We start from the raw sequence: 15,344 nt of genomic DNA, 5'->3' as shown, positions 1-15,344 counted from the left end.
GAGTGAATCTCATAAATGACTAAACTTGGAATCTCACAGAATTGAAGTGATTAGCCATAATCTAAGGTCTAGTCTGTAATCAAACCCAGTTTCCTTCTCAAGCACCATACCTTCAATGTTACTACACAGAAAACAACTCTGACCTTAGGAAGAGATGGAAAAAGTTTGAGAGAAACTTTGTGTGAAGAGGAGAGAAATTTATCTCCCTGAAGTATTTACAAGAGCCATTTATTGAGATTTGCTGTGAAGGTAAAGAAATTGAAACTAGTAAAGACAAACATTTCATAGAACAATTATTAAATGCTTAAGGAAAAAAGAGAGGTGGTAGCATTTGTTTATTATCTACTATGTACTGATTTCTAATGAATAGTAAAGAATGAATTTATTTTTGTATATCAGTTAATATTACCTCAGTTTGCAGAGGAAACGTTGAGAAATTCAAACTAATAATGCTAATAAATGGTGGAGCTGAAACTAAAATGCAGTTTCTGTGATCTTGCTTATTGGGGGTAATGAAAGAGAATCCAGGAAGACATAGACTAAGGAGAAAGAAGTGTCCAACTGATTTGCATAAAATTTCAAAATTTGTGGTTTCAAATTATATAATAATATATCCTAAATTTTGACATGTTATGAAATTCTGTAAGCCTCCTAGTATAGTTATTTCTGCTTTGGTAACAAGCCCACTGATATAATGACATTTGAAAGTTTAGATTCAAAACCATTTTTTTAGACATAGGGTCTCACTATGATGTCCGGGTTGGCCTTGAGCTCCTGGGCTCAAGCAATCATCCTGCCTCAGCTTCCCAAGTGGCACAGGCTTGTGCCACTGTTTTCAGTTTGCTATTTTTTTAATAGATTCCCACATAATATAGTATAGTACAGTATATTTGCTGAGGGTCTGGGATATTCAAGTTCTAAGTGATAAACACATACCAGAGGAAGGGTTGATACTATATAAATAAGACATATTGGATTTAAATTTTATTTTCTATAAAAATAGAATCTGATAAGTCAAAAAATAGAATCTGATAAGTCAAAGCAAAAAGAAAAAAAATTTAATCTAGATATAAATGAAAGCTAGAAATCTCTATCAACAGTTTAGCTAAGATAAATGATGAGTCTCTGCTTAATAAAGTTTTTGAAGTCAAGCTGAAATCCTTTAATCTCAGGAAATTTCCAGCTAATAAGTTAGCTCCTTAGCTCCTCATTCATTAAAGTCAATTTACTTCAGTGCGTGGTGACCTAGAGAGATGTGAATATGACAGATCAAACCATGATAGAGAATATTCTGCATCTTCATGAATTGTTTTAGTTCATATGATGAACATGAATGCATTTGAACAACTCTAATGGTTAAAAAAATAGATTGTAATGTTACATGCACTTTATAAAAGAGTGGCTACTTTATATCTGCTTGGATAGTACAAATTGAAATCAAATATGTATAAATATAATACTTAAGCATATTTTATTTTTTATTCTTCTCTGCTTTGGGAGTGTTCTATATGAGGAGTATGAGAAAAGTTATTCTCTGAAGGTCCCAGGCTGTGAATTTTGCCAACAAATGTTCAAAGTTGGACATATCTATGACAGTGTTTTACAGTTTTAAGCATAGGGTGTTATTCAGAAGTTTAATTCCTAGATAACCTGATTTTCACACAACATGTTGCATGTGAAGCCTGGATATTGAGGGCCATTTTCAGTTAGCAACTTGCTTTACTCACCATGTTTAATGACCCAGCAAATCATGGTTTTTCCCTTGATTCTGCCATCAGACCTTGATCTTCTAACATTTTCCATATCTGCACATTCCTGTTTTGCCAGCAGTGAGTTCCTATGAACATACCAGTTTTACAGTATTAATCCTCTTCAAGAGATACACTGATGCATATTCCTCTGGTTGTATTTTACACTCAAGTTGCTAAGGTTCATCCTTTCATCTTGAATATTGTAGTATATTTGTTCTTTCTGTTACTCCAGTTGGAATATTCCTTTCCCAGATTTCTGCATAACATACTTTCTCTGTCTGCTCTTAGGCCTCCTATCAATAGTCACTTATGAAAAAACTTGGTTTCAGCACATGATATAAAATTGTAATTTTCTTCTCTGGCACTCATTATCATCTTACCCTGCTTTATTTCATTTAATTTCATTTTGGACCTGATATTTATATGTATATTTTTATATTTCACTTCTTCCCCATTAAATTGTAAACTCCAAGAGCTCAAAAGTTAAACTGTTTTCTTCATTGCCTTGTATGCACGTTCAATAACAGTGCTTACCATGTAGTCATATTCATATTCAACAAATATTTGTCAGGGAAAGGAAAGAAGTACTACACTTTTGGAAGTAATTGAAACCTAGCCTTCTGGAGTTTCTATGAGATATCCCCTTTGTGTTAATTACCAACAGTTTACAATTGCAGATTACCAGCAAAATATTTAAACATTGCTAGAAATATTCTATGCGTTTACTTAATTCCACTTTGTACCTTATACGTTTCAGAAAAAAATAACACAAAGCAAAACAAAACAAAAGCCAATATCTTACATTGATATTTTGTAGCAAGTTTTATCTGTATGTTAAAATAATATGCAGATTATATTTATTCAAATTTATACTCCAAATAACAAAGTGGAAGGATCTGTTTTCAAAACATGACTAGACAACAGCTTTATGGAAAATAATTTTTGTACTCATAATAAAAGAAAATAATAGTTTTAAATTCTCTTTAACCAGTTAAAACATCAACTTTTAATATTGTAGTTTGAACCTCTATAAATCTGAATTTAAATATATAATTGTTAAGAAAATAGAATTAAAACATTTGAAACGTCATTTCTCTATATAAGAGCAACTTTCTCAAGAGTATGGATAAATATATCCACTTTTATCCTTAACAATTTTACATGGTAGATCAATCAACAATAAAAATATTGTTTTTTTTCTTGGAACAACAACAAACCATTTACTAATTCCAACGTGTATAGTATTTTATAGTTTGTAATCTTTACATATGACATTATGTAGAATATGAATTTAAATTTTCATATTTTTTCTTTTACTACAGGTACATGTAACTCTAGATGTGTATAGACTACATTCAAAATTGTTTTCTGTTGTTTATAAAGATAGATTATGTGATTTAGGAGAAACATACCTTCAGAGTATAGACTACCTATCTACAGATCTTAAAACTATTTTTGTCTATTTCTAATAATAGCATTTATTAAGGCATTATGCTCATTTTAAAGAGCAATTATGCTAATTATATCATCATCCAGAAATTAATATTTATTTATTTTATTGAGTAATATTAGTCAACGCTTAATGGCAGTTTTGGAACATTCAGTGAAACATATATTAAATATTTACAAAGTCAAACACTTGTCTTATGGAAGGCAGCTTGATACTGTACAACCATTTGTACTTTGAGGTTTAAACTTCCTGAAAATTGCATTGTATAATACACATGCAAAGCGCCTTTTAAAAAATTATGTGGTTAAGGAGCTAAGTTTTATATTTCCTGAAAAGCACAGTATGTCATATTATGTTTTACATAGAGAATATTTTGTATGGTCTTATCTTTAGTGATTAAATAATGTTTTAAAAAATGACCCAATGGAAGCAGCATGAATTTTGGAGTGACAAGACCTGGGTTATTGTGGCATCTTAATTGTATTATTTCTATGGCCTTTTTTTTTTTTTTACATATAACTCAGGTTCATTTACTTTACCTAATCAAGCCAATAATATCTAACAAACTTAAATGTTGTGAATATCAAATAAAACAGATTTGAAAGTGCCTTACAAACTAAAACACTGTTCCTGAAACACTAGGGTTTCGGTTTAGGTCCTGCTGCTCGCCGCACTGAAAGCTAATCACTGAGGCAATAATTATTGCCAAGGAAAAAGGCTTAATCGGGTCCTGCAGCTGAGGAAATGGGAGCTCAGTCTCATATCCATCTCTCTCACCCAATAAAACCAGGGGTTTATATAGCAGGGAAGAAATGTAACAATGTGTAAGGAAACAGCAACTAGGAGGAGCAAGGAAGCAATCATGATAAATGAGGGGTCCAGCATTTCATTGTTAGGATGTGGTGATCGGGTGAGTTTCAGTTCTTTTATAATTATTTGAGAGGCTGGAAGTTTCTTTCCTGAGGAAGGAACTCAGATAAATATACATTTCAAGGTTTAAGACCATAAGGGTCAATTTGTATGTTTATATATATTCTAAAAAACCTGTCTATGAGACTATTGCATCTGTTTCAACACTTTTAAAAGTGAGGTATTATTCAAAAATAACAATAGGCCAATGAGAGGATATCAGTATGTACTAACTGAAAAGATTTGCTATGCTTTTGCTTACCCATGAGAATATCAAAGAAATACAGTACTCAGCAAAGAATGATCCTTCCATGCAGGCTGGTAGGCTTTAGAAATAATAAAATAATAATAACTAATAATGGTGAGAGCCCACCAGGCACACTTTTATAATCACAGAACACAATTCACCTCATTAATCTTCACATCAGCCCCAGGAGTCAGGCTTCAATATGAACTCCATTTCACAAATGAAAAATGCAGACTTAGAGAAGGATTAATTAACTTGCTGAATATTACTCTGTTAGTAATGCGATGGAATAAAGACTTAGATAGAAGGAGTCCTACTCCAGAGACAACCCTCTTACTCTTTATCCTTTTCTTTTCATATCAGTAATTTTACTCCAACAATGTTGAAAGCAACAATTATTCATAGTCAATGACTAATTTCCTAATGTATACTCATATAATAGTGTCTGTTCAAATGCAGCTGAAAAAAATCAGAAGAAAATTTATGTGTTCAGATAACATGCTAGTTTTCTCCCTTTATATTTTAGAAGAATGCTCACTAAAAGTAAGGAAAAAATACAGAATTTTAATATTATTACAAATAATAATTCTCCATATGGTAATGCAACCTTGAATAAAAATGGACAGGCATTGGCCGGGCACAGTGGCTCACGCCTGAAATCCCAGCACTTTAGGAGGCTGAGGCAGGTGGATCACGAGGTCTGGAGTTTGAGATCACCCTGACCAAGATGGTGAAAAACCAGTCTCTACTAAAAATACAAAAATTAGCTGGGAGCGGGGGCGGGTGCCTGTAATCCCATCTACTCAGGAGGCTGAGGCAGGGGAATCGCTTGAACCTGGGGGTGGAGGTTGCAGTGAGTGGAGATTGCACCACTGCACTCTAGCCTGGGTGACCAAACAAGACTCTGTCTCAAAAAAAAAAAAAAAAAAGGAAAGGTATTAAAACAGTATATGCTGAAATATCAAGTTGGAAATAGTTAAGGGAAAAATAAGTTTTGTGGGAATTTTACACAGCAGGAGTTGTTATTTTGCATTTGCTCTTGCACAGAAGATATGCATCACTATACAAAATACATTCAGAATACATTTTTAGCTGTACTTTTCAGTTTATGCAGAGTAATTCCAGTTAATCATTACATCCTTAAAAAATGAAGATCTTTGCAGAACCACCACTAATATAATGTTCAGAAAGAAAAAAATTTATTAGCATAGCAGTAGACTATGACATCAATTGAAGAAAAAAAATTACCATGTTAAATGTGAAAGCTGACCTTGAATAGAGATGTTCTATTTCAAAATTGAGTTAAAAATTAAAACAAAGTTTGTTGAAGCCAATAATGGATTCCAAGATAGAAGAGAAAGAAAACACTCAAAATGAAGTGGATATGTATTGCCAAGACCAGCTCGGTTTGGGAGATCCTAACCCAGTGGCACTAGAGGAATTAAAGACACACACACAGAAATATAGAGGTGTGAAGTGGGAAATCAGGGGTCTCACAGCCTTCAGAGCTGAGAGCCCTGAACAGAGATTTACCCACGTATTTATTAACAGCAAACCAGTCGTTAGGATTGTTTCTATAGATGTTAAATTAACTAAAAGCATTCCTTATAGGAAACGAAGGGATGGGCCAAATTAAAGGAATAGGTTGGGCTAGTTAACTGCAGCAGGAGCATGTCCTTAAGGCACAGATCGCTCATGCTATTGTTTGTGGCTTAAGAATGCCTTTAAGCAGTTTTCTGCCCTGGGCAGGCCAGGTGTTCCTTGCCCTCATTCTGGTAAACCCACAACCTTCCAGCGTGGGCATTAGGGCCTTTATGAACATGTTACAGTGCTGCAGAGATTTTGTTTATGGCTAGTTTTGGGGCCAGTTTACAGCCAGATTTTGGAGGGCTTGTTCCCAACGTGTATAGTGTTAAGATAAAATTTATTACCAGAATTAAGAAAAAAAGTAACACAAGTTGTGCCCTCATTAAAATTTATATTTATTTAATGAAAATAGACTACAGAAACAAAAATAATACATTGAGGTATATGCCTAGATAATATTTGCAGCCATAATTACATCAAAAATTTTTTGGCCACAGGTGATCCTTCCTTCCAGTTATTCTACTGTATGTATGTGGAAATACATATTTATGTGGAGATGGTGAAAGGGTCTTTAATCATGAAAAACAAACAGGAAAAACCAAAACAGAAGTAAAATCCATAACCCAGTATTTTTGTTGGTCTTTCAATAAATCAGATAAAAAATTATGACTTCTTGAGAAAAATAAAACAAAACAGAGACATATTTCTGAAATTTGATGAAAAACATCCACTTACACATCCAAGCATTTTATTGCATACCAAGTACGATAAACACACAAAAAACCAAACATACATATAATGTCAAAAGAAATGGTTATTTCACAGTCAAAACACACAAGGAAAATAGCCTGAAGATAAACAAAAACCTAAAAGAGAAAATAGAAGTAGAGCTACATGCAAAGATGTCAGCTATTAGAAACATGATAGACAGTCTATTAAAAAAGTAATAGTAAAAAAGTAATAGTCTCTTGGGTATGGTGTCTCACACCTGTAATCCCAGCACTTTGGGAAGCCGAGGCAGGTGGAACACCTGAGGTTAGGAGTTCAAGACTGGCCTGCCCAACTTAATGACACCCCATCTCTACTAAAAATACAAAAATTAGCTGTGTGTGGTGATGCGCACCTGTATTCCCAGGTACTCGGGAGGCTGAGGCAGGAGAATTGCTTGAACCCAGGAGGTTGAGGTTGCAGTGAGCCAAGATCATGCCACTGCACTCCAGCCTGGGCTACAGAATGAGACTGAGACTCCATCTCAGAAAAAAAAAAAAAAAAAGCAAGAAATGAAACAAAGAAAAAAAAAGTAATAGCCTGGCTAGCTGATGAGTCAATGACACATAATACTTGTCCATGTCTGTTCTTGCATGTAATTCCTGAATTTTAGAGAAAATTGGCAATTGCTTGCCATAACAAGAGCATGCTGGGACCCAGAAAAATGAATTATAGAGAAAATTGTAGTAGGATTGACTAGCTACTTCTACTCTTGACTCTGATGTTTTTATCCATGAAAATACTTTCAGGTGACAAAAGACATAAACAGAAATAGCTTAAACAGTATGCCAAGTGTGCTATATGAGAGATATAGAGTTATTTTATAATTTTTGCATATTTTTCTCTGCTTTTCCAGTTAACCTTGCTATAATCAGTCCACGCTGCCACAATAAAATATCAAAAACTGGGTAGCTTAGACAACAGACATTTATTTCTCAGAGTTCTGAAGGCTGGAAAGTCTAAGATTATGGTTTCAGCCAATTCAGTTCTTGTCGAGGGCCAACTTCTTGGTTTGCAAGTGGCCACCTTCTCACTGCAGCCTCACATGGCCTTTCCTGATATCAGCAAGTGGGAGGGAGTAGAAGGGAGAAGGATCTCCAATTTCTTCTCCTTTTATAAGACACTAATTCATAAAGGCCACCCACACACCCTTCATCTAAACCTAATTACTTCCCAAAGTCTCCACCTTCAAAACCAACACACTGGGGTTAGAGCTTAAACATATCAATGTTGAGAGGATACAAACATTAAGTCTATAACATGCCTACTACTTCTCTTGTCCCCAAGATGGATCCAATAATTTCAGGTATTAGATGCAGATATGATAATGCCAAGCAGAAGTAAATAAATAAATAAACATTAAAAATATATTTTGCATCCAACATCTCTTATAATTGGAAAAGAACTTACTTGATGCGCTTCAATAATGTTCCCTTGGTGGCCAGTGTTTTGCTATACACTGTTCTCTAAAATATCAGCCAGTTGTTACTGAAACACCAGGGGTTTGGTCTAGGTCCTGCTGCTTGCCACACAGAAAGCCAATCACTGGGCCAATGATTATTGCCAAAGAAGAAGGCTTTAACTGGATGTTGCAGCTATAAAGAGATGAGAGATCAGGCTCAAATCTATATCCCTAACCAACTAAAATTAGGGATTTATATAGCAGGGAAGTAATCTAACTATGTGTGGGAAAACAAGAACTAAGGAAGGGAAGACAGCAATCGTGATGAATAAGGGGCCTGAGGTCTCCTATTGTCTAGATGTGATGACCTGGAGAGTCTCAGTTCTTTGATACTTTTTCAGAGGTCTGGTGGTCTTTCCTGAGGAAGGAATAGTGATAAAACAAATGTAAGCTTCAAGCTTTAAGATCAGAAAGATCAATTTCTATATTATCCAAAGAAACATCCATGGGACTGTTGGGTTGGTTTCACAATTAATGTCAAGAAAATTGAATTACCATGACTGATATCGAACAACAAAGATTCTTTACCTGGGATTAGTGAAAGGTTCATTCTTCACTGAAGGATAACTTAATTGGGTTTATATTAATAAGCGATATGTTGGCGGATAAACATTTTTAGGCAAGCAAGAGTGTGTAGCATAGTCATTAGCTGCCTGAGTAGCTTTACGAAGTCACGTACTCCTTTGTCTCAGTCTCTTTATAAATTCATTATAGACTGCATTAGTTATCTACTGGTACATAAAAGAGATCACAAAATTCAAGAGCTTAAAACAATCATTTACAATCTTAGTTTCTGAGTGTCAGGAATAAGGGAATAGCTTAGGTCACTCATGTGGTTGTCCAAGGGCTTTTGTCTTCTCCGGTTTTAGGTAGAGACCAGTTTTCGGCATGAAATCTTCTTCCAAGGGCTGCTCAAAAATGTCAGCGTGCTTTCCCCAGAGGGACTGATCCAAGGGATAGGCTGAAAATATACCCATGATAGAGGCTATACAATTTTACAATTAAATGAGATAAGAATGACAACATTTATTAATAGTAAAACTTTTTGTAATTCTAAGGATGATATATGTTCATTCATTAAAGCTTTACCAATTTCTCTCAAACAATGTCATGTAAATGCACATTTTGCCTGGGGCTGATGATAACATTTTTCTTAAGGGAAAGTATTCATAAAATAAATTTTCACAAATTATGTCTGTGAAGAATTGAAAAACCTGATTCTTGAAAAAGAATTCAGGCTTGAGAACATCTTTTAATGTTATTTTTAACCTTGGAGTCATTTTTGCCCTGCTGTCCCCCCACCTTCCCACTCAGGACTTCCAAAATAATTTTACCAGTTTTATTTTAAGAAGGCTGAAAGCACAATTATCTGTCTTTAATGAATATATTTACAATTCACTTGAAAATAAATATTTTTATGAGTACAAAAAAGAGAACAGACAAGAAAAAATATATTCATCACTAAGATTTATAATCAGAATAACTTATTTCTTTTTCTTGTTCATATGACTATTTAGGTTTATAGCAGCACTATATATTTAACAAATGTTTAGACATTGCCAAAGCATTAGGAGCCTTTACACATAGTAAAAAGTAACTCAAATGGTTTGGGCATTAATGATTAAACATAGTAGTCCTGTGTTTCTTTAACAACAAAAGGATAGATCAGTTGGCTCTAATTTAAGTCCAATGGCTAGAAAACCATCGGACTTTTTAAATCCTAATGAGTTAAGTTGTTTATTCCTTTATTTTGATTCATATGCAGTCATAATGAGAATTGAGAGGTAAAGAAAGATTCAAACAAATTTTAGGATTGTTTTCCCTCTGTGAATGATTTTCTTATTAGTATATATGGAAGAATGCTTCTCATAGACCATTATTCTTTTCTGTCTGCACTCCTAATTTCTAGATTTATAAAGAATTATTTTTGTTTGTTTTTAATGATAGGGTCTTGCTATCTTGCCCAGTCTGGACTCGAACTCCTGGACTGAAGCAGTTCTCCCATCTCAGTCTCCTAAGTAGTTGGGACTACAGGCCAATATACCTATTATGAATAATTTTTATACACTCTTTTTTATTTATTTAGATAAATTTAGATAGATTTACTAAACTGTTTATTTTTATACGATTATTTTATTGGTGAGGTTATTACCTTTGTCAAATTCTATAATAATTATAAGCAATATAATAGGGAAATGTAAAACTTAGTTTTTGTTTTAATAACAAAATTTTATCTGCCAATAGTATCACATCAGTAGTTATTTTGCCTGCATTTATCAAATAAGAGAAATACCTTATATAATGAGATATTTTGTAAAGGTTTGTTTAAAATTAGTATTTATTTTATTCATAATGGAAATTATTATAATAAATATTAGCTGTTAAAACAACTTTATATTACATAGTATGGTTTGTATAAAAACATAATAGGTTTTTTTTTAGTGTCATTGTATATCATTTTCTGTTCTTTCTGGGAAAGAGACACACTCAGGACTCATTAATATGATGCATTTTATAACATAAATTAGCATATATGTAACCCTAGAACACTACATTTCTTTAGTTTCTAATCTAGACTTTTATGAAATAATTATACTGAATTTTAAACATATTAAGACTTTTGATAACAATTAGAGATTTATAATCTCTATTTGTTTCTGTTTTGGCTCTTTGAAACTCATATTCTCTAGGTAAACAAGAGGAAAGACAAAAAAAGGAAACTAATTTATATACAAGAATTTGTGCTTCTGGTGACAACGTAGTAACAAAGACTAAAATTTGGGTTTTTTTCTTCAAATAGGCAATCAATAAAATATATGATATAAAGTTCTCAAATACTGGAAAACAAACAACACAAAAAATCCTTGAGAAAAGGAAAATGAATTGAGGTAAGCTCTCAATTGACCCAGCTTATTGCTTGGAGAAAGTTTCCAAGTTGAAAAACAGATAAGGGAGCTCAAACACAAGCTGTGTTGAGGATCCAGAGTTTAGAGATCCAGAGGTTAGTACAATTTAGAGGGTGAAATAATGGAGAGGAAAACACTGTAATGATAGAAGAAGCCAGGAGTTCTGTAAAAGTGCCCTCTTGAAGCTTTGTCTGAGTGCCTGAACTATGTATGAATGTGATACAATACGGCAGCCAGGCAATAAACCACTGTAAATGAATGTGTAGAACAATCCCTGGAGCTCATACAAATTGGCCAATAGGTCATACTTTAACCAGCCAGGGTAAAAAGCCTCCCCAAATGTGGGACACCACATAGAATCTTTAGAATAGTCTGTTTTACAAGTGGTGCAAAATTAGTCCTAAACTAAAGACTGCTCTGGATATACCATGATAAGGTTTAAACACAAGTCTCTAAAACTTCAGAGGATTCTATGTAAACTAACTGTATCTAAATAAAGTTCAATGATATTCCTAGAGACATAACAAAATTTAACACCAATCAGAGTAAAATTCACAATGTGTAGCATCCAATCAAAAATCACCAGGCATTCTAAAATAATATAAAATACATTTATCACCAAGAGAAATAATCAGTCAATTGAAACAGGCACAGATATAACCCAAATGATAGAAAAGGTAAACACAGATATTAAAATGCCTATGCAAGTATCTTCCATGTGTTTGGGAAAGTAGAAGAAAACACAGCTGTGATAAGGAGAGAAATAAAACTGCTAGTGGAGAAAAACATATCAAAAATGAGAAATACATTTTATAAGGCTAAGAGTATCTTAAACACTTTAGGAAACAAGATTACTGCATTTAAAGGACATAATAAAATAAATTAGCCTAATAGCATAAATACAAGACTGCAAAACAGAAAAATAAAAACTAAATAGAGCACCAATAAGTTGTGAGTTATTCTCAATTTGTCTAACATCATATGCAGACATACCTTTTGCACTGTACTTTGCTTTATCACTCTTCGCAGATATTATGTTTTCGACAAAAGGATGAAATGTGGTAACCCTGAGTTGCTCAAGTCTATTGGTATCATTTTTCCAACACCATGTGCTCACTTCATGTCTCTGTGTGACATTTGAATAATTCTTCCAATATTTCAAACGTTTTCATTATTTTGTGTGTTATGGCTCTGCTGATTAGCAATTCTCTTGTCATTCTTTCTCTCCTCAGGCCTCCCTATTTCTCAGCCACAACAATATTGAAAGTAGGCCAATTAATAACCCTACAATGGCTTCTAAGTATTCAAGGGAAAGGAAGGGTTGCACCTCTTTCACTTTAAATCAAAAGGTAGAAATGATTTAATGCCTAAAACTGAGATAGGCCAAAAATTTGGGCCTCTTGCATGAAATAGTTAGCCAAGTTGTGAATGCCAGAAGTTCTTGAAGAAAATTAAAAGTGCTACTCCCACACACACACAAACGATAAGAAAGCAAAACAGCCTTATTGCTTATATGGAGAAAATGTGAGTGGTCTGAATAGAAGATCAAACCAGTAACAGCATTCTCTTAAGCCAAAGCCTAATTCAGAGCAAGGTCCTAACTCTGTCTAATTCTAAAAAGGCTGACAGGTGAGGAAGCTGCAAAAGTAAAGTGGGAAGCTAGCAGATGTTGGCTCATGAGCTTTAAAGAAAGAAACCATCTCTGTAACATAAAAGTGCAAGGTGAAGCAGCAAGTACCAAGTCAGAAGCTGCAGCAAGTACCAAGTCAGAAGCTGCAGCAAGTCATCCAGAGGATTTAGCTAAGATCATTGATAAAATGGCTACACTAAACAACAGATTTTTAACACATACAAAATAGCCTTCTATTAGAAGAAGATGCCATATAACAGTGGTCCCCAACCTTTTTTTGGCACCAGGGACCAGTTTCATGGAAGACAATTTTTACGCACAGACAGGGGTGAGGGGGATGATTCTGGAATGTTTCAAGCACATTAAATTTATTGTGCACTTTATTTCTCATATTACTTCATTGTAATATATAATGAAATAATTATACAACTCTCCATAATGTATAATCAGTGGGAGTCCTGAGCTTGTTTTCCTGCAACTAGACATTCTCATCAGAAGGCGATAGAAGATAGTGACAGATCTTCAGGCATTAGATTCTCACAAGGAGCATGTGACCTAGATCCTTTGCATGCACAGTTCACAGTAGGGTTTGCATTACTATGAGAATCTAATGCTACCACTGATCTGACAAGAGATGGAACTCAGGCAGTAATGTGAGTGATGGGGAGCGGCTGTAAAAACAGATGAAGCTTTGTGGGCCACTTACCTCCTGCTGTGCAGCCCAGTTCCTAACAGGCCATGGACCAGTATTGGTCCGTGGGTATCCAGCCCCCGTTGGTTGGGGGCTAGATAGGAGAAGTCAGCGTCTGTCTTCAAAGCTTCAAAAGATAGATGGACTCTCATGTTAGTGTTTAATGTACCTGATGACTTTAAGTTGAAGCCAGTGTTTGCTTGCCATTCTGAAAATCCTAGGGCCTTTAAGAATTATGCTAAGTCTACTCTGCCTGTCCTCTATAAATGGAGCAACAAACCCTGGATGACAGCACATTTGTTTATAGCATGGTTTGCTGAATATTTTAAGCCCACTGTTGAGACCTATTGCTCAGGAAAAAGAAAGAAAAATATAATCTGCTTATTGACAAGGTAAATGGTCACCCAAGAGCTCTGATGAAGAAGTACAAGATTAATATTTTTATGTTTGCTAACACCACATCTGAAGTCCATGGATTAAGGAGTAATTTTGACTTTCTAGTCTTATAAATATATTAGAAATACCTTGTGTAAGGTTGGAGATGCCATAGATAGTGATTCCTTTGGTGGATCTCGGCCTAGTGAATTTAAAAACTCTCTGAAAAAAATTCCTTATTGTAAATGCCATTAAGAACATTTGTGATTCATGAGAGAAGATAAAAATATCAGCATTAACAGGAGTTTGGAAGAGGCTGACTCCACACTCATAAATGACTTTGAGGGTTCAAGTCTTCAGTGGAGGAAATAACTACAGATGTGTGGAAATAGCAAAACTAGAATTATAAATGAAGCCTGAAGATGTGACTTAACTGCAACAAGCATATGATAAGAATTGAATGGATAAAGGGTTGTTTCTTATGGACAAGCAAAGAAAGTGGTTTCTTCAGATGGAATCTACTCCTTGTGAAGATGCTCTTTGTTGAAATGCAAATAAAGGATTTAGACTGTTTCATAAACTTACTTTAGAAAGCAGCAAGGTTTGAGAGGATAGACTCCAATTTTGAAAGAGGTTCCACTGTGGGCAAAATGCTATTAAACAGCATTGCCAGCTACAGAGAAATTTTTTGTGAATGGGAGAGTCAAGCAAGGCAGCAAATGTCATTGATGTCTTATTTAGAGGAATTGTCACAGCCATGCCAACCTTCAGCAACCACCACCCTGTTCAGTCAGTAGCTATCAACAAGGCAAGATCCTCCAGCAAAAATACTCCAAATTGCTGAAGAGTCAGATGATCATTAGCATTTTTAGCAATAAATTATTTTGTAATTAAAATATGTACTTTGTTTAGACATAACGCTGTTGTACATTTAGTAGGCTATGGTACAGTGCAAGAAAAACATTTATATGCACTGGGAAACCAACTATTTGTGTGACTTGCTTTATTGCAATATTTATTACAGTAGTCCGGAACCTAACTTTCAATATCTCTGAGATGCCTGTAAGTTGAATCTCAGAAGAAGAGGAGAAAGTGGTAGGAGGAGAGGGCAAAATATACTTGAATTAATAATGAATATTTATTATTTGAATATTATTGCTTATTTAAATTATTGAATAATTATTTTTTAAAATGTAGAATTTGAATTATTTGAGAAAGAATTGATACATTTTTGACAAAATTATAAACCCACTCTATTAGTTTCACTCTACTACAGTAACCAATTACCAGAAGTTAGTGGCTTAAAATGACACAAACGTGTTATATTAAAGTTCTTGAGGTCAGAAGTCTGTAATGGGTCTCATCAGACTAAAGCCAAAGTATCAGCAGTACCACATTTATTTTTGGATGTTCCGGGTATAATCTGTTTTCTTGTCTTACGCAGCTTCTAAAGGCTGCCTGCATTTCTTTGCATGTGCCTCCCTTTCATCTTCAAACCGATAATGGGCCTTTTAAGGCTTTTTTACATAGCATAACTCTGATGCTGACTCTTCTGCCCCCAGCTTTCA

At 34.3% G+C, this 15,344-nt stretch overlaps 1 long non-coding RNA gene across 1 annotated transcript in view; it reads right to left on the bottom strand.

The window, feature by feature from the left end:
• Positions 1-1,818: 1,818 nt before the first annotated feature.
• LOC107985458 (uncharacterized) overlaps positions 1,819-15,344 on the bottom strand; it is a 32,947-nt gene continuing 19,421 nt past the window's right edge. The window contains exon 3 of the long non-coding RNA XR_001737815.2: positions 1,819-1,837. This is a non-coding gene — a long non-coding RNA (uncharacterized LOC107985458). The remainder of the gene's footprint in view (positions 1,838-15,344) is intronic.

The sequence above is a fragment of the Homo sapiens genome, chromosome 1 (assembly GCF_000001405.40).
Source record: "Homo sapiens chromosome 1, GRCh38.p14 Primary Assembly".
NCBI classification, from domain to species: domain Eukaryota; kingdom Metazoa; phylum Chordata; class Mammalia; order Primates; family Hominidae; genus Homo; species Homo sapiens.
Note: the sequence above shows the minus strand (reverse complement) of the source record. Positions and strands in the feature narration are given on the sequence as shown.